Source organism: Homo sapiens, chromosome 3 (assembly GCF_000001405.40).
Source record: "Homo sapiens chromosome 3, GRCh38.p14 Primary Assembly".
In the NCBI taxonomy this organism is placed as follows: Eukaryota; Metazoa; Chordata; class Mammalia; order Primates; family Hominidae; genus Homo; species Homo sapiens.
Genome location: NC_000003.12, coordinates 95,453,945 through 95,479,384, shown reverse-complemented (window position 1 = coordinate 95,479,384; position 25,440 = coordinate 95,453,945).

The window sequence follows — 25,440 nt, the reverse complement described above, 5'->3', positions numbered from 1 at the left end:
GGTGAGTAAAATGTTCCAATTTATTCTTGCTGCCTTTGTTAGAAGAATGTTGTAGGGGCTGGACAAAAGTTATTGCAATAATTTAGTTTGGAGAAAATATTTTAAAAACTAGTGGTTTGGACAAATGTGAAAATAATATAGGTCCTAAGAAATTGTGGCAATCTTTCTAACGTTTATTTTGGTAAAAAAGATGTATTTTATAATTGTAGGTGTATTGTCGTGGAAAGAAAGTAAGCAATATTGCTCCATTTTTTTTTTGCCCTAGGATATGAAAGAATGGTGGTGCCAGCTGATGGAGAGTGAGCGTGAAAGCAAGACATGTTATGATCCATATGCCTCCTTGAGATTCAAGTGGAGAAATCAATTCATATAAATAGAGCTTGAAAGAATTACAAAAGCTTCTAAAGTTATTTATCTCTTAGGAAATGCTTGGATTATATAATGGAAACTTGATTATTGACCTAAATTCTCATCTTAATCCTTAGTGGAACAGTGCAATCTTTCAAAAAAATGAGTTTAAAATTATTTTATTTCTATTTGTAACTTCTATATATATTTTATAGCAAATATATATATAGAAGCCTTATAGTATACATATGCTATATATATACACACTATATATACTATATATACACTATATATACTATATATACACGCTATATATGGTATATATATACACACTGTATATACTATATATACACTATATATAATATATATATATATATATATACTATTGAAGCCTATAAATACTTGAAATCATTTTCATTGGCATTTACTGATATTTTACAAGGCCAAAACTCATGAAACAATTAATCCATTTTGTAAGACTAGGTTGTTTCTTAAATATAGATAAAATCTTATTGATTAATGGAAAAAATAGTGATACAATGGTTAAATTATAACATAAAAACTCTAACAGTAGATATATGTACACAATACAGACACACACAAATACATATACATATATGTGTTTTAACATGTAGAACTTATTACTCAAGTTTGCTGAGGCCAACAGATGAGGAGATGATTGTTGCTGAAAAGATAGTTTCACAGTTCCCAGGAGCAGGGGGCACACTATGCCACACAAGGCCACACAGAGACACGCCAGGGTCAGTCAGGAGGAAGAAGGAATGAGGGAAAAGTGTGGACAGGAGACTTTCTTGTGCTTTCTGTGGGGATGGCAAGGCATGGTAACAAGATTTAGAATTAGCCAGTTTCAAATAGCATTAGTGGGCTGTAGGTGGTAGGAGTTGTCTTGAATTGTCTGTTACCTGGCCCTGAAGTGATATTAGGCAAGGAAGATAGTGGCTCAACCTCTGAGAGCTGAAGAAAGAGGGTAGTTGGCCAATATGAGATCTGAATTGGTTGATTTGCATATGAAGTTTATGCTCCCATTAAAGTCATTTGCTCTTTCTAGGAATTAGCTAGTTATGGGAGTGGCAGTGTTTTTAGGATTAGCAAGATGTCAAAACATTATAAAATACAAAAAAACAGTGATTCATATAATATGCTTACATATTATGCATATTATGTTTACCTAGTCTATGTTATATACATATACATTATACATATATAATAAATATATGTTTACGTAGTAGATATTATATGTATTATATATATTTATAAATACATATCTAAGGAAGCCACAGAATATACAAATATATAGTTGAAAATTTATGGCTTCCTTACAGTTTTCTTTTAATCATCAAAATATGTTTTCTTAGAATAAAGTTTTTGAAGTATTTTTAAATAGACAGATAAAATTACATGTGTTTGCCATGTACAGCATGATATTTTGAGTGCAAGATTCACTTTGTATTATCCTTCTGATGCCCCTTGGTTTCCATTCATTAAGTCAGCAAAGGAGAATGAACTTCCTCATTGACCAAAATTGAAACAATATTAAAGTTCTAGCTGAGTGCTCAAATACATTTCCAATTATTATCTTGAAAATAAAATACTGTAGCATCCTTCTGCTTTCCAATATAGTAGAAGATGCCAAGTTCTAATCAAAATCACAATGTTTAACTATGAGATTCAAAATCTCTGTGTATGTGTGCTTTCTTTTCTATTTTCAAAATTCTTATTTTAAATCAATTAAGACAAAAAGCTAAAATATGTCATTAGAATAAACATAACAAAAACAAACTATTTAAAGAAATTTATTTGTCTAGTGTAATTCAAATTTGCTTTCAAACCATTATGGATAGTGTTACATTACAGCATACGTGTATAAGCATTAAAAGAAATGAGGCTTCAAAATTATAGTGAAAGTTGGACTAAGAATATTATTTAAAACTTACTAATAAAGCTAATTTGAAAGTGCATTTTAAACTATGTTACAATGAATTGAAATTCAAGTATTTTTCAAACTAATTTTGCAAAATTCAAGTTTAAGTGAGGCAGGTAAGAGCCTTCCTTTGAATTTCAAATCCAAACCAATTATTTTCCTCCCTAGAAGAGAGATAACAAATAGATTTTAAATCAAATACAACTCTAATCTATTGGTGTTTTCTCTCAGTTATGCCATAAAAGCAGTGAAAATAAAAATGGAGTCACTAATGTTGAGAAAAACCTCAGAAATAGAGCCAAGGAAGATCATGAAGAGAGTCCTCACACTTGTATGCTTGATAGTGAAAAAGACCACAAAAAGCGAAACTTCTACAATGACATCTGCCCAGAAATTGCCTGCTCAACCTCAGACTGCTGTCATCCTTGTTATTTATCTCTGTAGGCAAAGATAATTATTTCAAAAATAATTATGTAATCTTTCTTATTTTGTCCTTTAAAAACCTTGGTCTTTTTTACCTTTCGATACATAGTTTACTATGGCATGCATATTCTTATTGCAATGCTCTATTGCCAGATAAATGTGTTTCCTTTCAGAGACCATCTTTTTGTTCGTTATTTGTTTTGTCATATATATGGTATCTGAAATGGGACCTGAATAAGATCACTATAAGAAGAAATTGGCAATTCTTGCAATTAGTGTGAAGGAGTAACTTGAGCCTCTGCTTCCATGCTTCACCGTGTCTGGCCTTGCAAATCTTCTAGGTTCAGCCTTCACCCTTTTGGTAGAGGCTTTTTGATATAAGTTGGGGAATCTTATTTGGATAAGGCTACCTTAATAAGGAATGGTATATTCCTCCAGGGATGATAAAAGATGTTTTGTCTTTTCTGCTTATTCCTTTCTGGTATAAAGATAAGGATCTTTCTAATTGAGTAGTCTTATTTCTATAGGTCTTACATTCTGTCTTTAAGGTATGTCTTCTGGTGAGTAATTTCAGTCTAGACTGTGCATCTGGTTTAATATTTTGTTGATCTGCACACCTAGGTTAAAATTTTTGTGCTTATCCTTATTTTGGTTTCACTGAGTTCTGTTTGACTCTTTTCCCTTGCTTGTTTCTGAAAGTCTTATGAGAGCAAAAATAAACATTCAAAATAGTAAATGCAGGGTAGCTAATTTAAAGCTACTAGGACAATTGTCACAATCTAAAACACCAGTCTAAACTCCTGACATTCCCTGACAAAATTTATATAATTTTTATTTTTGGTATTTGTGAGATTAATAAGAAATGGAATGGGATTCTCAAACATTAAGAAATGCCAGGTTTTCTGAGGCTCCAGCTGACTACATTTTATGGTTTGTTTGTGGGAATACTTTTAAACTGGTGGGCAAATTACATCAAGGAAAATTCAGAGCTCAAATAGTAATTACTAGAAAAATTAGCAGCTATAGAGTTAACATGCAGAGTCTTCTAAGTTCTCTATCTAGGTCTCTGTATTTTTTCTGTCTACTTTAAATCTGCTGACTTTTCTAATGGCATTGAAATAAAATTCACTGTTTATGGCATTGCAGCCTCTCTCTCTCTCTCTCTCTCTCTCTCTCTCTCTATATATATATATATATATATATATGTGCACGTGTGTATGTATATATAATATGTGGGTATATATGTAGACATATATACATATATATACACATATATACATATATATATATATGGCAACATGACAAAACCCCATCTACACAAAAAAATACAAAAATTAGTTGAGTGTGTTGGCATATGCTGTGATCCCAGCTACTCAGGAGGCTGAGGTGGGCCCTTGAGTCCCGGGGTTGGAGATATATATATGTATAATAAAATATTTTATTTTAAAATTTATTTATAAATATGTAAATATATTTATAAATATATAAATTGATAAATAAATATAATTTAATATATATTTATATATACTTCAAAGGGAATCTTAAAGGGCTTTAAAATTAATGGTTTTTTACAAATTCTGACAGCTCCATGATAGCCAACAAATTGAACACCCGTTAGAAATGTAATTTTAGATTTGCTTGACTAACAATTGCATATGATGATAGAACATAATTGAATAATTAATGATCAAAAAAAAGAACTAGGAAAAATGTTTTAAAAAGTTGGATCTCCAATTAAACAGATCAAAATCTTCAGTTGAAATCAATCACATAAGTTGTCTCAGTCATGCATAAAAATATTTTTCTTTTTTCTGCCACAGAGAGGCCAAAAGTGAAAAGTCCAAAAAAAAAAAAAAAAAGAAAGAAAGAAAAGAAAAAGAAACCGCTAAAATTCTTTTCTACTTGAATTTGCTAATCAAGCAAATCAGAAAGCAAATAACAGACACATTTGTCTCTAATTCAAGACTACTTGGATATTTTGTTTATCTTATAAAATTCAGCTAGTCCTAGCTAAAATGTGAACACTAAAATTTTAACCCTAAACACTTTTTTTTTTTTTTTTTTGAGACAGAGTCTGGCTAACTCACCCAGCCTGGAGTGCAGTGGTGCAATCTCAGCTCACTGCAAACTCCACCCCTGGGACTCAAGGGATCTTCCCACCTCAGCCTCCTGAGTAACTGGGACCACAGCGTGTGCCAACACACCCAGCTATTTTGTATTTTTTTGAGTAGATGGGGTTTTGCCATGTTGCCCAGACTGGTCTCTTAACTCTTGGGCTCAAGCAATCCAGTGGTCTCAGCCTCCTAAATTATTAGGATTACAGGCATGAGCCACGGCACCAAGACCTTAAACACATTTGAAACTAAAAATGGTGCAAGAAAATAAGAGAAGAGGTTTTTTGCTTGTTTGTTTGTTTGTAAAATCAAACTGCCATGGGAAATGCTTTACCCAAAGTTTCGGTCCACAACCTTTGTTAGATTACATATTGGGGCTAAAAATGTTTAGTTATGTGAACTTGTTCCAATTTTGTCTGAAATACAATTTGGATTCAACTGTCTCTTATAAACTAATGTATTTGTTGTATTACTAGCTCATGTCTAAAATTTTAAAATGAAGCTATAAGATCTTTGTGTGTGTGTGTGTTTAGACTTGTTTATGCATATGTACATGTATCATGTTATGTATTCTGACTATGCTAAAGACAAATGAGTGCTCATATAAAATATATAATTAACCCAAATGTCTTTTTGTCATGTTAATTAAGCAAATATTTAATAAATTAGTTGGTTTTTAAATTATTCATAACATAAAAATAGATACATCTTCAAATTTGCCAGCATACAGTTTTGCCTGGATTTACTGGTAGTTTTATATTTGTTTCTGCTAGGTATTTTCAAATGTCAGGGTTTTATACAAAGGTTATAAAAACTATAAAACCTGTATAAAACAGAATATTTGTGAATTTTTTCGATAAAATTAATTTAATGTTGTTGGTTTGATGAAGCCAGCTGTATGTTCAGATTTGTCAGCAAAATAACCACATATTTAACTTAAGATTTTTTTATTTAGGTAAACACCAGATAGTCATGGGCTATAAAAATGGTTAACAAGGAAATAACTAGAAGTGAGGACTATCATTGTCTAATGTCTTGGTTTTTATAAGTAATAGAGGTAACTGTTAAAAATAAATAAATTAGATGAATGTAAATGTGGCAAATATCTATAAATGAACTTTTCATATAATTTGAAATATTTAAGTTATGTTTAATAATAGATACTAATTAAATGTCTGGGTCATATCTAAATAAGATTAAAAAAAATACTGACCGTAAATACAACTTTGTTTTTGCCTTCTTAATGTTTGTAGAAAGACTAAATATATTTGAGTCAATTAATATACATAAAATTATGTTATGAAGAAACATGTTTCTAAAAAATATAAAATCGTCCTCATCTATAAAATACTCATGTATGGGCAGATAATTCAAGATTGCTTGATTCCTAGGTTTTCATTAAAGTTTAAGGTTATTAAGAGTTTAAAATCCTAACATATATAAACAGTTCTATATATAAGTGCACATACACCTAAGTTGTTTTTAATAAAAAAATTAGGAAAGACATAAAAATGCTTTCTTTTTTGATAGAAACGCATTTTTATCTAATTTAAAGGAAATTTAATGTTGCTTCAGACTATGGGTTTATGAAGAAAATAGAAACAAGATAAAAATAAACCAGGAAGTAGGAGAAAGAGATGTGAAGAAAGTTATGAAGATTAAGATGCATTCTTGGCAAGGAAAGTTGATTAGAAGAGAGAATAATTTTGTATGAGAAAGAAACTGGTATGGTAAATTTTGTTCTAAAGCAAAATGACTATTTTATTTTTTTGGAAAGAGGAAGTATAGGATAAAGCAGAAATTTTAAGTGTGTTGCCAACATTCTGAGTAAGTTATGATAAGGTTCATGAAAATAGAATTTATTAAAGGAATTTTGTGTGTCATTAAGTTGGCTGTAATAAAAAAAATTATTTAAGTCTGTAAAATTTGAGCTTTGACATTAAAAATGAACTAACACAAAAACTTTTAAAGAAGGTCCTTATGTTAGAACAACAAGGTTTTCTTAAGATATTAATTTGCTGTTAGTAAAGTTATAAAAGGTATTGATTTTTGATTCTGAAATCTGTTTCTTTATAACAATCATCTTCTAAATTACATACAGTTTCTATTTTTTTCTGAGATTTAAACCATTTCTCTGGTTTCACACTGGAAATACTGTCTTTTTCATTCAGATGGATAATTGTATTTCTTGAGGTAAAATTTATCTTTTTGAAACTTTTGAGCTTTATATTTCAGAAGTTCAAATTTTGTTGTATCTCACTGCATGTGATTTGCAGGTCATAAGTCATTGCCTTCTGTTTTATTTTTCTCCCTTTAAAAAGGTATGTCTCTTTGGTTGGCTAGGGTAATTCCTCTCTCCTTCAATCTTTTCATCAACTCCTGTAACCTTTTTTTCTCTGGCTCTAACTCTGCTTTTATGGCCTGATGCTGAAATGTTTATCTTGAAGGTCTAGAAAACCAGTGTTTTTCTCCAGTTTAACTTGTTTCCATACACTTGGATTTTTAAAATATGCCTGAATTATTTAATGTAACCTGGAAAATTCCCATGCTGTTACTGAAATCCATGTATTTTCCTACTCAAGGTACTAATTTGTTTGTTTTAACATTCCTTTATAATATAGTTTAACTCATAATGCTGGATACACTCTTCCTGTGTCTGATTAAATTCAAGTACCCTTTTTATCAGGTTTGACTCCCAGGTTATCAAAATGGACTTCCCTTAAAGAAAAACAATCACATTGTAGTATGTTTTTCTTTATTTTTATGGAGGCTGGCCTAAAAAGAAAAATAAACAAACAAACTAAAAACAACAATTTTATGTTTTATCAAGATAATTCCTGTATTGTCTTTATTAAGTTTTAATTAAGAAATCCAAATTATAATAGGGATAATGTTTTTACATCCATATAACTTTCTGTATTGCTTTAGAAGTGTTTTGATTATTATTCTGATTAAATGAATAGCTATTTTTTTAACATGACCTGTGATTCTTTTTTGATCAAGTGTTTTGGGCCTTTTGACATTTTCGATAGGTACCTTCAGAATCAAAATCCTATATTAAGTCTTTTTGGCATAAACTTCATGGTAGGGTATTTTAGTTGGGTCCCTGGATAGCTTTGAAGTATGTACCTCTCATCATGCAGATATGTTAAATTGTAGGACTCATTTGGTAAACTGTATGAGAGCCATAGATAAATGATGAGTCATATTAGATTTTCCTTATATTACATTTCTGAATAAGTTACTGATATAAATGTCCCAGAAATTACATAAACTTATAAAAATTGAATGTTTTGTCATACTTTTGATTGTTATATTAAATCTTTTCTAAAGTTATGTTCATATAAATATGTTATTAATGGAGGATTCTAAAAATTATAAGAAATTTATAAAAGTCTGATGGTTCTGATGTGATGCTGTCTGATTCTGGATCTCATCTTAAAATGCCACATGTAATGCAAGTAATTAAATTTCCTTGCCAATTGAGAGCTTTCATCATATTTTAAAATGGTTATTCTGTTTGTCATCCACAGTTATTGTTTTGAATTCTTCTGTAAAAATATTTGCAATCAGCGATAGTCCAAAAATGCTTTTCATGGAAAAGGCTCTAACAAGTAGTCTTGAACACAGATATCTGAAAATTTTAAGATCAATGGACTAAATAAATATTTCTAGAATTCTAGTGAAGAAACTCATGGGTTCATAAAAACTGCTAATTAAAATCAAATTTAATAATTGCATAAAATTAAGAAACTGATGAAGATAAAATTTTTATGACTTTTATTTAAAATGTTTTTGATTCTTTACTTAAATGTTTTGTTTTCCAGATTTAAGAAAATTTTCTCTCATAAGCTATCTGTAGTTTTTAACAATTTGGAAAAGTATACATTTGTGAAAAAGATGCAAGCATTTGCTTTTTCTCCCACTTGATTCCTCCCAATTTCAGAAATTATTCATGTGTATTTGTATTTTTACTTATATAAGTTCAATAAAAATTTTCTCTCTCTTTATAAATAAGCAGGGTACAATTACAAACATTAGTTCTATTTCCAAGACTTTAACTAAAATGTCATATTTAATAATGTGTATAAAATGCCCGGTTTCAAGAGTTCCCAGCCTTACAATGAGTGAGTAAAAATAGTAGCTACCTGGCAGACTCAAGAACCTTAAGACTGTAAGTAAATTCTAAATTCTGCCTAGACTCAAGATGTTTTTAAATAACAGATTGCTATAGGATCAATATGTATAGAAAAAGTTATCATAAAAATATCTATTATATAGCTGTTATTAGATTGTGGTTCTATGCATTGTTTTCAAGTTCTTGTTATCTACCTCTAGACTGGACTAGGTCCTGAATTCTCCCAATTCCCTCCAATATTTGAGTACAACTTTACAACTAAAACCAAAAGCTATTCTCTTCCCAACACCTTGCAGGCTGAAACTAGGTAAATTTTAAGGATCATTCTCATGTCCGATGTATAGACAACACAAAAAGTTCACCAAACTGCCAGTGCCATGACCAGAGTCATTCAGACTACAAACTAGGAGAAAAAGTTGATGTTTTCATACCGTAGACAGCTTTTCCAGACGTTGGGACAAGGCTTCGTATCATAATGAAACTTTTACTCTTTTAATGCTACTTTTTTGCTTGATAGGATAATGGTGTAATGGAAAGTTACAATCAATAGCTTCTGCTGGAATTTAACAGAAACTAACCTAAAAAGTCCTTTTAACTATTGGTTAAATAAGAAAATGTCTATGCTATTGCTAATACTAAAAGCTGTGCTTCGGTAAATACATCTGGGAAAATAGAAAACAGACCACATGGTTACAGTAGGTCTCACTTAATTCCTTATATTTATTAAATTTATTAAATTAGTTGTCTTTAAGCCTAGATTTGTGGCTCAAAATCATTATACAAACTGGAATTGTCTTATTACTATTAATTTTACTTTGTATTTTCCTTTTTTAACTTTGCATCTATTATTTATTAGATTTTTGCAGAGGGACAAATCCTAACAAAATAATGCTGGTCAAGCATTTTGAGGCGAGAACAACAGACTATAGAACAAACAAAACTGAGCTTAACGATAGGCTCCAGGCAGACTTAGCCTGAGAACAAGTCTTTCTAATCGCCACTGTCGTTCAAATGTGGCCACTGTCTCCTAGTTTCCAGTCACTCCTCCCCATGTGAGATAAGTCAACTAGAATAGGCCCATCCACACACTGAGGGACATCAAATCCTAACAAAGGGATGACTTATTAGTGATACTTTTGGAGAAGGACTTTGATCAAAAGGGATAAATGTGAAGGTTATCAGAACCAAAGTGGGGTTACTAATGTTAAAAAAAAGAAAAAAATAAATAATGGAGCCAAGGAAGTTCAAAAAGAGATAATTATCATACTTGTATGTCTGATAGCAAAAAAGACTGCAAAAACTACAACTTAGCACACACACACAACCTCACACACACACAAATACTTCTGCAAGGATATCTTTCCAGCAACTGCGTGTGCAGTCTCAAACTGGTGACACCCTTGTTATTGATCTTCGTAACCAAAGATGATTATTTTAAAACAATTAGGTATCCTCCCTGTTTTTTCCTTAAATGTTTTCACCTCTCTAAATATGCACATAGTATGCTACGGTACCTGAATTTCCATTGTGATGTTCTATACCTAAATAAATATGTTTCTTTTACATAGCCTCTCCCTGTTTGTTATTTAAACATGCTGAATTAAAAGCGTTCCATCCTCCAGGATTGGAAGAGATTGGTGCACTTTGTACTGTGATTAGCACACTTTGTTATGTGTGTATTCTCACAAAGACTCTATTCCTCCAAACAAAAGTACAACAGAGAACTTACAGTTTGCAGTCTGTCATGTGAGAAGGTTGGAAATGTAGCCACTTCATTCCAACAGTAAGTAAAATGCTAAACAAATTGAAAAATCAGTAACCGGTTAGTTTAGATCCGTAGGAGAAATGAATTCTTATCAGCTCAGCACAGAAACCCAAAAGTTGAAACATCTGTGGCCAGGGCAGGAAAATGCCAGGGTAGGAAAATCTAAACTGCAATTGACTAATTGCTGGAGGCTCAGTATGGGCAACTTTGGGTCAAAACTACAGAGGAACCTGTCATGGCAGTGGGGAGGGGTTAATTTTTGTAAATTTTATCTGGTGGAGCTTCACCTCTTTTTCACAGTGAACATCAGAGAAAAATACCCTCTGGAGGGGAAAGAGGAGAGGAATCATTTTAAAATATATCAGAGTATTCTGTTCTTATTAACAAGGTCAGCTGTGAGAAGAAACTAATGAGCTAAAGTCTAACATTCTAGGGTTGGATCAGAGCCTAACTGACCTGGAGGAAGTAAGATACCCAACTCCAGCCTCCTGAAGCCTTCCAAGTAGGAGAAAAGAAATACTCAACTCCAGCCTTCAGCCCACTTTAGTCATGCTGTCCAATCTCATGGAGATGGGAGTCAAAACAGAAAAGCACTTAGAAAGTTCTCATTCTAGAGGCATAGGCTCACTAAAAGATTGAAATTTAATCATAGGACCGCAGAACACTTCTCCTCCTTCACACCTTACCACAACATTACTAACAGCCTATTTACAGCATTCCTTTGATCATGGAGTCTGGATATCAAGAAAAATTACAAGGCCTACTAAAAGGCAAAGAAAAAAAACCCACAAAAAAGACAAATAAAGCATAAGAAGACTCGGATGTGGCAGGGATGAGGAAATGATCAGACTTGGAATTCAAACAATTATGATTAATATGTTAAAAGCTCTTCTGGATAAAATAGGCAAAATGCAAAACAGGACAATGTTAACAGAGATAAACATTCTAAGAAAGAGCTAATATGCTAGAGATAAAAAACATTGTAACAGAAATGAAGAATGCCTTTGTGTGTCTCATTAGCAGGCTGTACACAGTTGAGGAAAGAATTTCTGAACTTGAGACTATCTAGATAGAAACCTCGAAAATTGAAAAAGCAAAGAGAAAAAAGACTGGAGAAAAAAGAACAGAATATCTATGTTATCCTGTGGGATAATTTTAAAGGTATAAATGTACATTATGGGAATATCAAAATGTGAAGGAAGAGAAGAACAGAATCAATATGCAAACAAAAAATGATGGAGAATTTCTACAAATTAATGTCAATATCAAGCCATAGATCCAAGAAGTTCAATCAGAATAAATGCCAAAAAATAAAAATGAAAACCTACAATAAGGTATATCACTTTTGAACTACATAAAGTCAAAGATAAAGAAAAAGATCCTGAAAGAAGCCAAAGGAAAACAAAGATTGCCTGTAGATGTGGATAGATAAGAATTGCATCCAAGTTTTCCTCAGAATTCATGCAAGAAAGAAGATAATTGAATATATTCTTTTAAATGCTGTGAGGGAAAAAAATGCACACCAAACTAGAATTTGATACTCTAAATAACTGTCCTTCAAAAGCAAAGAAAAAATGAAGCCTTTCTCAAAGAGAAATTGAATGACTTTGTTGTCAAGAGACCCATCTTACACGATATCACAAGTTCTTAAAGAGAAGAAAATAATATCAGTAAGAACTTCAAAACTACATTAAAAAAAGAGAGTATCAGAAAAGAAATACGTAAAGGTGAAATTTAAAAATTTATTTATATCATTTTTAACTGATCTGAGAGATAACAGTCTTCAAAATAATAGAAACAATGTATTTGAATACGTATGCTTGTGTGTGTGTGTGTTTTAATGTATACCTATGTATAAGCAAAATGGATAACAGCAATGATTCAAGGGATGGTAGGGAGAAATTAGGATTGTTTTGTTTTCATTAGGTACTTGCACTACCCCAAAGCAGTGCTGTCTTATTTAAAAGTGGACTTGGATTAGTTGAAAACATATATTGCAAACTCTAGTACAAAAACTTTAAAGAGTGAAAAAAAGCAAAAGTAATATGTTAAGAGAAGTGAGATAATGGAATCATAAAGTGTTCACTCAAGTAAAGCCACAAAAGGCAGAAAAGAAATAAAAGAGAAAAAGGATAATAAATAGAAAACAGAAAAACATATGGCAGATATGATTCCAGCCATACCAATATTCACTTTTAATTTGAATAGTCTAAATGTACCAATTAAAAGATACAGCCATTTTGGAATACAGTTTGGCAGATTAAAAAAAAACTGATTATACTCAACATACAATCCAGCAATTACCATAGGATCCTTCAATCATGTCCTTGGTATTTACCCAAAGTAGTTAAAAAGTTTTGTCCACACAAATACTTGCACATGGATGTTTACAGCAACTTTATTCATAATGGTCAAAACTTGGAAGCAACCAAGATGTCCTTTAGCGGGGGAATAAATCAACAAACTGCAGTACATCCAAGCAATAGAATATTATTCAATACTATAAAAAAAGAGGTATCAAGCAATGAAATATATGAAAGGGAACTTAAATGCATATTACTAAATGAAAGAAGACCATCTGAAGAGGCTACATACTATATGATTCTAATTACATGACATTCTAGAAAAGGCAAAAATATGGAGACAGTAAAACAATTATTGGCTACCAAGCACCAAAGTGAAGGTTGAGATAAATAGGCAGAGTACAGAAGATATTTGGGGAAGTAAAACTTTTCTATATGAAAATGCAATGGTGGATTCACATAATTTATACCTTTGTCCAAACCCATACAATGTACAACAGTAAGAACTGACACTAATGTAAACTATGATCTTGATAATTGTAGTGTCATATGTTTAAGGACGTGTCAGTGTAGGTCCATCTATTGTCACAAATATCACTTTGATAGGGAATATTAATAATGTGGAAGGTGATGCATGTGTGGAGGCCAGAGATATTTGAAAAATCTCTGTGCCTTCCTCTGAATTTACTGTAAGCCTAAAACTGCTGAAACAATTAAATAAGAAAAGTCTATTTTTAAAAGTCTAGCAGAAAATTCCAGAGAAGAAAGAGGAAAGATGATTAAATCACCAAATTTACAATGCAGAAGTTGCTGAAGAGTGACACTAGTGAAGATCTGTTTGCTGCTTCATAGGGTGATGATGACTGAAAAGCTAAACTGATGCTGGGATAATATAAATTTTTAAAAAATATATTTAATATCTGCTGATAGTAGCAGGAGACAGACAAATCTCTAGGCAGACAGGGGTTGATCCCCAGTGAAACCTGACCTTCAAGCCAGAGACAGCCCCAGGTAAATCCTCAGACCAGACTGAGAATGTCTCTTCCCATTTTGCATGCTTTTTTCTGATTGATTCCCAACCTTCACCTATTTTACATATACCTACCCTTTCCTAACTGGTTTTCTACAGTGTCATGCCCACCTTTGAGTGGTGTCTTTGTTTTAGCCTTTTGTGCATATTCACAAACCAACCAGCATGCACTTTCCATTCTGAGCCTATAAAAGCCACAGACCCAGCCACACTAAGGGGAGGGCACCCCCATGTGCCCTCTCCACTGAGAGCTGTTCTGTTGCACAATACAATTCTTCTTCATCCTCCTTACCGTTCAATTGTCAGCATACTCTGATTCTTCTTGGATGCAGGACAAGAACTTGAGAACCACAAAACATGGGTACGTGCTATAACACAGGTGGGCTGGGCATGGGAGGGCCACCTCCTGCAGCAAGTAGCGTGGCCAAGTGAGGCCCTGACAGGGGCGTCACCAGCTGGAAGTCCCCCACTAGCAAAGTAACCAAGGAAAATCCTGCATCACTACTAGGTACCAGGAAATAGTATTTTCTAGAAACACAAAGATGAGCAAAATGCCCTCTGACCTTCAGGAATTTACAAGTGATAAAGACTATTAGTAACCAAAGGATAAGCACAATGATACCCAGGGCTTGCAAGAACAAATATGTATTTCCTGCTTACATTGCTGCTGTAGTTATTCACAATCTGCAGGGCTTTTCACAGTCTGCTCTATGTAGCTTCCACCTTCTGGAATAAAGTAAAATAGATCCACCCGAGACCTGATGAAACTGCAAAATTGCTGTTTAAAGTTTTTGCTCAGAATTGGCAGACAGTCATTCCTGCTCTCATTTTCTTGGCCAAAACAAGTCACAGACCAAATTCATGTAAATGTAGGAAAGCAGTATACTCCTCCATCAAGAGAGAAGTAAAAGTCATACAGCAACAACCAGGAAAATGTGTTCCTCTGTGTGTGTGTGTGTGTGTGTGTGTGTGTATCTGTGTGTGTGTGTGTATAAATTTCCTCTTACAAGGAACTCAGGCAGGGGGATGCAGCAAACACTTTAGGACAGTTTCAGAATACAATATAACCTACCAGTGTAAACACCTAGCTGTTGTTTTATGCCACTTATTTCTGATGTCCCAACAGAATGGTGTAATGAATATCCAATATATGCCCTTCTTAGGAATGCTTCAAAGTTTTACTGGGCTCTATATCCAGTATAGAAATTAATAGTCTGATTTTGATCACGTAATCTCATTTCAAAACCTACATGCGGCGCATAAAGTTTCTTCTTCCTCACATTTCAGTTGGAATTTTCTAACTATTTGAAGTTTGGTAATTTAACAGTACAAAGTGAAGTGTTACACTTTTAAATTGTTTGTTTTATCGATGTTAGTTTTGCTACTAGTATCCTTATATTTTCTAAGCTAGTTAGCAGAAGTTCTTTTATATTATGTTCAATATTGTCACTTTTGGACACTAAATTTATATTCTTCCATTGTCATTTGTTAAATTTCATCCATACCTGTATCCTTTACATCACACTCATTCAATCATCCACTAAGCATTGTTCATTCTATTGCACTTTGCCTCTGAGATATAAAAATGAAATCCTAAGCCCCATGACTAACTAAATGGACTCCTCTTGGCTAAGGGGACCCCAGAGTAACCTTGAAAACTGAGTTCTTGGTCATGATGGGAGATCAGACATGCCTTGTTCTACCCCATCCCTCGCTAAGTGTACTTAGGCTTTCTTCCCTGATGGCTACACAGAACCAGTTTCTTTAAAAGACTCTACTGTGGAGAGTAGAATCTACTGACCTTTCTGCTGCCCCTCCCTTTTGCGGTTTCGACAAAACAAGCAACTGGCATTTCTTCCTGATAAGATACCATGGACCATGGAGCAGTTCTGGTATCTATGGCGGATGAGCAGTAAGGTTTTTCACATCTTCTGCTTCACCTTTTGACATCACAGGGCCTAAATCTCCACCCTCAGATTCTGCTAACTTGGCCATTTTTTGTACATAGTACCCATGAAGGGGCATGAAGCTCAATTGCACATGTGCATATTTCTCCTTTAATAAATATTCATAACTCCACTTATAGCTTTTTAAATATATATATTCGTACACCCTGCTCAGCATACATTCCTTTTCCCTTTGCGTCTCTCTTGAAGTGTCTGTTTCTAGCTTCTGACTGGAGGTTATGCTTTCTTCCCTGACAGAATGGCCACCCAGCAGGCTGCACTTATTTATGTGAAATAAAGCTCTGCTTTCCAAATTATTGATTCCCATCCACTCGTCAGTTGACTCCTGTCAAAACTGTTTCCATCCTTCTCCCCAGCCCATATGTTAATTTAGTTGAGCATCATCTATTGCTGGACCACTGTAATAACATCTAACATTTTTTTCTGTGCTGTTTATACATCCCTGATGTATTTTTCATAATGTAACCAGAGTAATGGTCCTATAATTAATAATAATAATAATAATAATGATGATGTCTAGAAGAAAAAACTTTTCCTCCACCGTCTTAGGTTCTGAACTGGTGACCAATTAATCAAACCATCACAAGATGAGTAATAGGATAAAAATCATGTACTCACATGCACAAGGGAGCGAACAAAAGAAGTAGCTAGCTGGTTAAATAGTTAAATTTAGAGGCTTAAGTACCTAACTTATTAGGGGAAATAGAGGAGGGGAGTAAAGGCTTTATGTGAAGAACAAATCAATTTTTTTAGGAAAAACAGCTAAGTTTTTAAAATGAGAGGAAGATAGAGTTTGTGATAATATTTGTTTATGACGGAGCAAGTGGTCTTCTGTCTTCTTTTTGGCCATGACGCTTTCTCGAAGACAAGAGTTTTACAAGTTTTACTTTTAGTCTCTGTTGTGGGATAGACCCATCCCAAGGAGAGAATTTATGGCAGCCTCATTTCCCAGCAGTTGATGCTTTTCGTCAGATAAAGGAAGATCCTAGAAGGCTTTTCTCTGATCTGTTGAATCTCATATGTCTTCCGCTTAAGACAATCTTCATACCAAACCCTGGTTTCTGAGTCACCACAATGGCAATCATTTATTTAGTGTTTACTCTTTACTAAACATTATTGTAAGTTCTCAGCATGTATTAGATAGTATAATCCCTAAAATAATCCTGTTAAATATATACCATAAATACATACCTAAATGTTCCCATTAATATTTTAGCTGAATGAACTGAGTTCAAGGGGCAGCATAGTGAAGTGATTAGACTATGAACTCTAACAGCACACTGCTAAGGAACCACCATTTACTGTCTGTACACTGCTGCTTAAACTAATATTCTAATCATGCCATTCCTTAGGTTACAAGGTTTAATGTTTTGGCATTACTTACAAGGAGTTGTAAATCTCACCTCTGGTTACACTCTGACCTCAATCTTTTATATTTCTTCTTATTTCTGAAAGTCTATATTGAGAGGTGCCCTCCCCTGACCCCAGGCTTTTGTGCTTGTAATTCTTTCTTTCTTAAGGTCTCTCTCTTTCTTCCCATAGCCATCTAACTTTTATTTAAGATTCAGGTATTGAAGATGACACTTTCTCCAAGAAAATTTCTTTTTTCGTACAGTGGGTGCTTCTCTTATGTACTCTCATTGTATCTTTGAATTTTATTTATAGAATGCATTGGACTGTATTTATCTGGTTACCTTCCTTTCTGATATACTAGGCTTTAAGCTTTGCGAAGGTATTTTATTATTCCCTGTGTGATCCCCAAACTAACATTATGCTTGCCACGTAACAGACACTCAAGAAAATACTACGTATAGAAAGAAAAAATAAAAGAAGGGAAGGATGCAAGGAAGGAGACAATTAAATATAATTGCAAACTTTAAAATGATTAGGTGAGAAAACCACTTGAGGGCAGGAGTTCAAGACCAGCCTTGGCAACAAAGTGAGACCCCATGATATGGTTTAGATCTGTGTTCCCACCCAAATCTCATGTTCAATTGTGTCCCCATTGTTGCAGGTGGGGCCTGGTGGGAGGTGACTGGATCACTGGGGCAGAGTTCTTATAAAAGGATTAGAACCACCTCCTTAGCGCTGTTCTTGTGATAGTGAGTGAGTTATCATGAGATCTCGTTGTTTAGTGTGTAGCCAACACCCCTCTCTATCCCTCCTGCTCCAGCCATGTGAAGTGCTAGCTCTCCCTTTGCCTTCTGCTGTAAGTTTCCTGAGGCTTCCTTGGAAGCTAAGCCGATATCAGCATCATGCTTCTTGTACAGCCTGCAGAACTGTGAGCCAATTAAACCTCTTTTCCTTATAAATTACCCAGGTTCATGCATTTCTTTATAGCAATGCAAGAATAAACTAATGAACCCTATCTCTGCAAAAAATAAAGACAAAAATATTAGCCAGTCATGGTTGTTCTCACCTGCAGTCCCAGCATCTTGGGATGCTGAGGTAGGAAGATCACCTGAGCCCAGGAGACTGCATTGAAGTGTAATCATGCCACTGTCTGAGTGAGACCCTGTCTCTAAAAAAAATGAAAAAAAAACCCAGAACCAATTTGTAACTTTATATAAGTGATTTGAAAAGTTAAATGAAAGTGTTTCATCACATAAAGGTTCTTAGAACAATAACTATCAACACCATGCACAAGTGAAGAAAAGGGGTAATTATTAGAGTAAGAGTAGGAACATGGCCATCTCCCGTTTCTATCTTTGTTTCTATTTCTGCTTGAGAGTGCAGGCCAGAGTCTACTAGAAGCACAAATTGTGCTTTCATGTTGTGTTTTTCTGACCTGGTTAAAAGATATCTGTCATGTGTTCAGCTGGCCAAAGGACATTAACATATGCCATTTGCAAATACGGGAAAGATTGCCAGGATCAGTCCCAGTTGCTTGCCCTTGCCAATATTTTGTGAAACACATACTTGTTTCTCTTTAGAGTTGCCAGTCTCCAGCCTTCTGTGAGCCAGAGACTGAACAGATTCCACCTGGACTGCTATGTTGCCCTGCTTCCTGTCATATGTCATCTTCTTATCTTCTTTTAATGTCTCTACAAACAGCAGAGTGAGAAATAACACAAATAACACTAGATATGCTGGTCATGCTTTTATAATTTTGTTACTTTGAAACAAGAATATTCAAAATGGAAGAATTTGCTTTCAAATTTGACATGCCTCGTGATGATAGGAAAAGATTTTTTTTGTCAACTGGCTCAGTTAGAATCAAATTCTGTCTAAAAAACTTTGGATCTTTCTTGGGAAAAATGTAAAAAAAAAAAGCAGTCTCCGAAAGTGAAGAAAAGAAAGTTCAAGTTACAAGGAAAACTTTTGTCCATTTCTCCAGTCAGCATCAATATTTCCCTGTGGTTGGCCTGCCCCATATCCAGCTGTTTCCCTAAATACGTTGTAAATGCCAATGAAGGGAAAAGGGAGAGGAAACTGGACCCACTTGGCTGTGTGCTCATGTATTCAGCAGCCAGTAGCTTCCTGCTAGATGAGAGCTTACTACCTGCTCCAGAGGTAAACAAATGAATTGTTCACAAGAAGAAATTTTCCAGCTGGTTGTTCACAAATATGACTCTTTCGAACAATTTGACATCACATTTTCAGCTATTTTGTTTTTTTCTTAACAAATGTTTTTGTCATTATATTTCTTTTTGGGCAGAGTGTGGCTAATTTCTTTAATGCTTCTGGGAAGTCTAACAAATTTTGTGTGGATTTTCCATTCTTTAAAAACGTGTAATTAATTTTGTGCTTATTCTGTTGGGCAATGCTTTTATGACCTAAAACAAAACAATCTCCCACTACTAGAATGAAAACACCTGAAAGCAAATACTGTGCAAGTGAAGAGTTCAATTCAAATCTAAAAAGCGTGTGATTATCTTGATAAATTAGGAAGAAGGAATGCATACTACTCAACATTCCTTTTTGATTGTCTTAATACGGTCACAACTCAATAGCATCTATAGCATAGCAATGTGTCAATATTCTACTAATAACAAACTATGAGATTAAAACTTTGAAGAAAGAAATGTTTCTCTGTATTTTCTAGCAAACCTAAATATAAGCTATCATGAAATTACAAACAAGAAATATATTTTGTGGATGAACTAACTCCATAAACAGTATAAAATAAATAAGTGAAAAGTTTATAAGAAATAAGAACATGGGAAAATCACAATTCCTCGTCCTGTTCAAATATTGAGATTGTTCTCAAACTCAGAGCCCATTAACTGAAGAAGACACCTGGTCCTCTTAAGAAAGAACCTGCAATGTGACCAGTGTGTGTGTGTATGTGTGTATTTTCTCCAATCTTTCCTGAAAGGATCATACATTCATCACAAAGGAAGGGAAATGTCCAGATATTTGAGAATTTTTGGATTTTGTACCTAAGACCCAAAATGCTAACATGCTTATAGTCTTTGAGTATAGATATATCAAGATCAAGACCAGGTGATATATAGATCATTCTGGCCCACATTCTTTTTTTTTTTTTTTGAGACAGAGTCTTGCTCTGTCGCCTAGGCTGGAGTGCAGTGGTGCAATCTCGGCTCACTGTAAGCTCCACCTCCTGGGTTCAGGCCATTCTCCTGCCTCAGCCTCCCAAGTGACGGGGACTACAGGCGCCCGCCACCACACCCAGCTAATTTTTTTTTGTATTTTTAGTAGAGACAGGGTTTCCCCATGTTAGCCAGGATGTTCTCTATCTCCTGAGCTCGTGATCCGCCCACCTCGGCCTCCCAAAGTGCTGGGAGTACAGGTGTGAGCTACCGTGCCCGGCCCTGGCCCACATTTACATTGAATGCAGTGATCCTTAGACCCATCTTGAAATTATTTTTATGAGCCTTGAACCCTCACCATCATTCAAGGAGATAAACTAGTTTTGGACCCTCTCATTCTTTTTCTTTTTTCTTTCTTTCTTTCTTTTTTTTTTTTTAGATGGAGTTTCACTCTTGTTGCCAAGGCTGGAGTGCAATGGCGTGATCTTGGCTCACTGCAACCTCTGCCTCCCAGGACTCCCTCTTTCCTGAAAGGGCCAGGAGTAGCAAAAATTTATACTTACTGGGATTGTCACAAATTCTAGAAATGAATTTGTCTTGTCTAATCACATTGCTTCTGCCAACACCACTCACTGAGGTTTAGCATGACACATAGCATGACCTCAGTCCAAGAACGCGGTAATTTTATAGTGAAGGAAAAACAATGAAGGGCACATGTTATAGAAGCAAAAATTTCTGCCCACATCACCTGTGCAATGCCGTTATGATAGAATTTTAAATAGCCTTTCAAAGGCTCAGGAAAATGCATCATGTTGTATGTGATGTGGAGTTGGGAACCCTGGTATATATGTGAAAACAACAACTATTTATGCTACTGCTGTTTTTTCTCAATAACTAGTCTGGGAATCAAAGGGTAGAAATAGGAATGCCTTCTTTCTTCATCATTTCTGTTGTCTCACTTGGGGAATTTTAGGTTCTCATCTATCCAATATTGGAGTTTGTGGGATTAGAGACTGGTACCCAGAGATGAAATACTTTGACCAGAGGATGCAACAAATGCTTCAGTACATGAGACACCATAACTTCTTCTGCTTCATTGTGGGACAGGATAATAGGTCAGAATCCAAAGACAGGGTCTCCTCTCCTAAAAAGACTAATTGAAGCTCATTTACTAGATGTGCTAAAGTTGCAGCTATATAAAGGGCAATGAAAACGTTGTGTGGAATTCAAGGACTTATTGAAAGTTCTTACTTGTGCTTCCATTTCCTGTGATAACAGTGGATTGGTAATTAAAGCCACTGTAGGGTAATAAAAAACCAGGTAATTAGGAAATCAGAACCTTGAGGAATTATGACCTAAGTCAACTCACCAGGACCAGTACCTAGGCCAGTGGAATGCTGACCAAGAGAGATGGGACTGAGAAATAGAAAGTAGACGAGGAAAGTTATGAATACACAAAATTGTCTTGGGACTAGCGATAGCCATAGGAGTGTAATTTTTCACCATCCTTCCCATTTCAAATATTCTTTTAGAAGTTGATACTAGCTATCACCTCGAAGTCTGAATATTGCATCTCCACACTGGGGACTCAATGTGACCATGACTAAAATAGGATAGTATAAGAGATATAACATACACAATTCATGCAGTACAGTCCACTTCAGTTTATAGGCAACTATATTAGATCTTTTCCCAGCACATAAATTACACCTTCCTGTCTTAAAAGACTGTTTTTATTTCTTGTTCCTGAGAGCTTTCTTGCACTGCAATCATTCAGCATCAATTGCCTACTGACCCAGAGAAGGAAAGGTGACTCCCCAGGGAAGATAGAGAGCCCCAACCTATTTGTCTACAATGTGAGTCTGCACACTAATGAACTGATGATTGTCTTTTCTCTTGTCTCATACTTTTTATTTCCTCATGAGTGCTTCATGGGGTCACCTCTATAAGTACCTAACTCTATATCTCAAGTATTTCTTTGAGGGAACACAGATAAAGAGTTGAATTATCATCATTAGCCTTGTATAGGGGATGCTCAGGCCCCCTTAAACAGTGTATCCATCCCCCAACTGATATGTATGTTGGTTGCTGATAATTCACAGCTGTAATTTCTCTGGAGCACTGCCACTCTCTTCTTCCAACAGGTCAGAGTTGCCTATCCTTCAACTTAGACCTAAGGCAGTGAGTGATCCTGCCTAAGGTAAGACAAACTCTGTGGTACAATTTTTGCCTAGAACCTCTTTGTGGTATCAGACTGAAGCTAGTCTTCAACTGAGACACAGGCTTGCTTAGTGTTCCACCAACACTGCCTTATCCTTGCTTTCGCCTTGAAACATCGCTTGAGTCAGTGAAAAAAAATCACTATTACAGACTTTGCTTCTAGAGAAACTGACTTAAAACTCGTGACATTGTAAGGCCCTTACACGTGTAGGAACTCCAGAGACTATACTGATCCTACCTGTGTTGGGAGGAGAAAAAGAGTTCAAAGGCAATTAGATCATGAGAAGGGGGCTTGTGCCTGATATTCCAAGGTGTTAAACCCTAAAAGGAAGCAGTGACCTAATCTCCAGAGAGATTCGAATGATTTAAAAGCAAAGAAACTTCTGCCTCATTTTCTGCTGTTTCTTTAGAAAGGTATAGCACGTGATTACACAAAGAAATGGCTATGTGATGCTGGAACTGGCCTTACAGATTTTCTTGGGTTCATCTTCTTTTAAAGATGATGTTTCTGTAACCTTGCATGACAAATAAGAAGTGCTCTTCTTAATATTGTAGAATTCCATGAATCACAGCATGGAGTAGGAACTACAAAATATGTCCTGTGCATACAAGAGTAAAACCACACATAATACAGAGAGCCACTAGACCTAAAGAGACCTGCTGGAACAGAACAAAAAAACTTTGCTGTAGTGACCTATGTGGAATGAAAACAAAAAATCAGAAAAAAAAAATTATGATGAGTACAATAAATGATGGCCAAGAATAGTTCACGTTCGTCTCTCCCTGAAAATATAGCTTGATTTGTTGAAACACTCAGTCAAATTAAGTCAGATGAAACTTTACAAGAAAAATGGAAATTCTCTAATTTTTTACAAATCAATAAAAGGGAATTATTACGCAAAACTTTATTTTATTCAAAGGTTTGTCATGATCACAAGAAATATAATTTTCTTTCTTAAATAATTTATAATATAGAATAGGACATCAGAAGAAGGTGTAAGTGAAAAAAAATCAAATACATCTAAAGAAAGTGCCAACATCTATTATTGTAAAGCAGATGATAGCAAGCGATAGCAAACACACAGTGACAGCAAAGCCTTTGGACATTATTTATAATAAACATTTTCAGATATACATGCTTTGGATACAACTGTCTGGGAAATATACTTTTTAAGGATATTGATAATTTGGGTTCTTATGATAGGCTAAAAATTACATAAACATATACAAATCCAGAAATATATTTTTAAGCAAAATAACTATTAACAACATAACAACATAATAGATATTCACTATTTAGCAAGGAGAAACAAATGCAGTTTCTTCATTTGCACAAAGGAAAAAATCAAGGATATTTTTGTATGAAAGGGAATTTGTGTTTTACTTAGTCCAACTGCTTTAAAGATCAGCATATGGAAATCGGAAGGTGGAAAGTTCTTGCTCATTGCTTCTACAGCTAGTTCATAGCAGATCTAGTATCTTAGCCTTGTGATATTTTTCAATAGAACAAGCTGAGAATAGTGAGAACCTGAGATTTTGAAATTCAAGGTTTTTTAATTTGATGTTTTCTTAATTGTTATTGAAATATTCTCACCTTTAATTAGATTAGTATGTATAATATCTTAAAATAACCACATAGTGAACACAGAACATGGAAAATAAAGCATCTAAGAGATGAAAACAATATGAAGCATAGGTGGGATTTTTTTTAATAGAAACTACATTTTAAAAGGTTTTTCAGCAGCATAATTTTATTATGAAGTATGTGAGCTTTATCCTTTAGCATTTAAAACAATTTCCAGAAGTAGCTCTTCAAGCAGTTTCTGATTTTATAGATATAGTCCATCAGAAATTTCTGTATATGGAAAATAACTTTGGTATATAATTTTTTTGTTTTATTTCCTTTTAAAAATTTTAAATTATTATTATTATTATTATTTGTAAAGATGGGGTCACCTTATGTTGCCTAGGCTGGTCTCAAATTCCTAGCCTCAAGTGATGCTTCCACCTCAGCCTCTCAGAGCTGGGAGTACAGCATTATCCACCATGCCTGGCTGATATATGATTCTTAAAATTGCAATTATTTTAAATTTTATTTGTAAGATGGTTGTTGAATTACACCTAACTGTATACTTTGTGCATATATTTATCTTACTGGATACTATTAAAGGAAGGGATCATCTTACCTTGTTTTTAATTATCACATGACAGCCAGACACAGTGGCTCATGTCTATAAACCCAGCATTTTGAGAGGCCAAGGTGAGAGGATTACTTGAGGCCAGGAGTTTAAGACTAGCCTGGGCAACATAGTGTGAACCTGTCTCTACATTAAAAAAAATAATTATCTGTGTATAATGTTGTCTGTCTGTAGTACTAGCTATTGGGAAGGATGAGGAAGGAGAATCGCTTGAGAGCAGGAGTTCAAGGTTACAATAAGCTTTGATAACAGAATTCTTTTAAGCTTTTAAGCTTAGGGATGTATTAGTCTGTTCTCACGTTGCTATGAGGAAATACCCAAGACTGGATAATTTATAAAGAAAAGAGGTTTAATTGACTCACAGTTCAGCATGTTTGGGGAGGCCCCAGGAAACTTACAATCATGGTGGAAGGCACCCCTTCACAGGGCGCCAGGAGAGAGAATGAGTGCCAGTAGGGGAGATGCCAGATTCTTATAAAACCACCAGATCTGGTGAGAA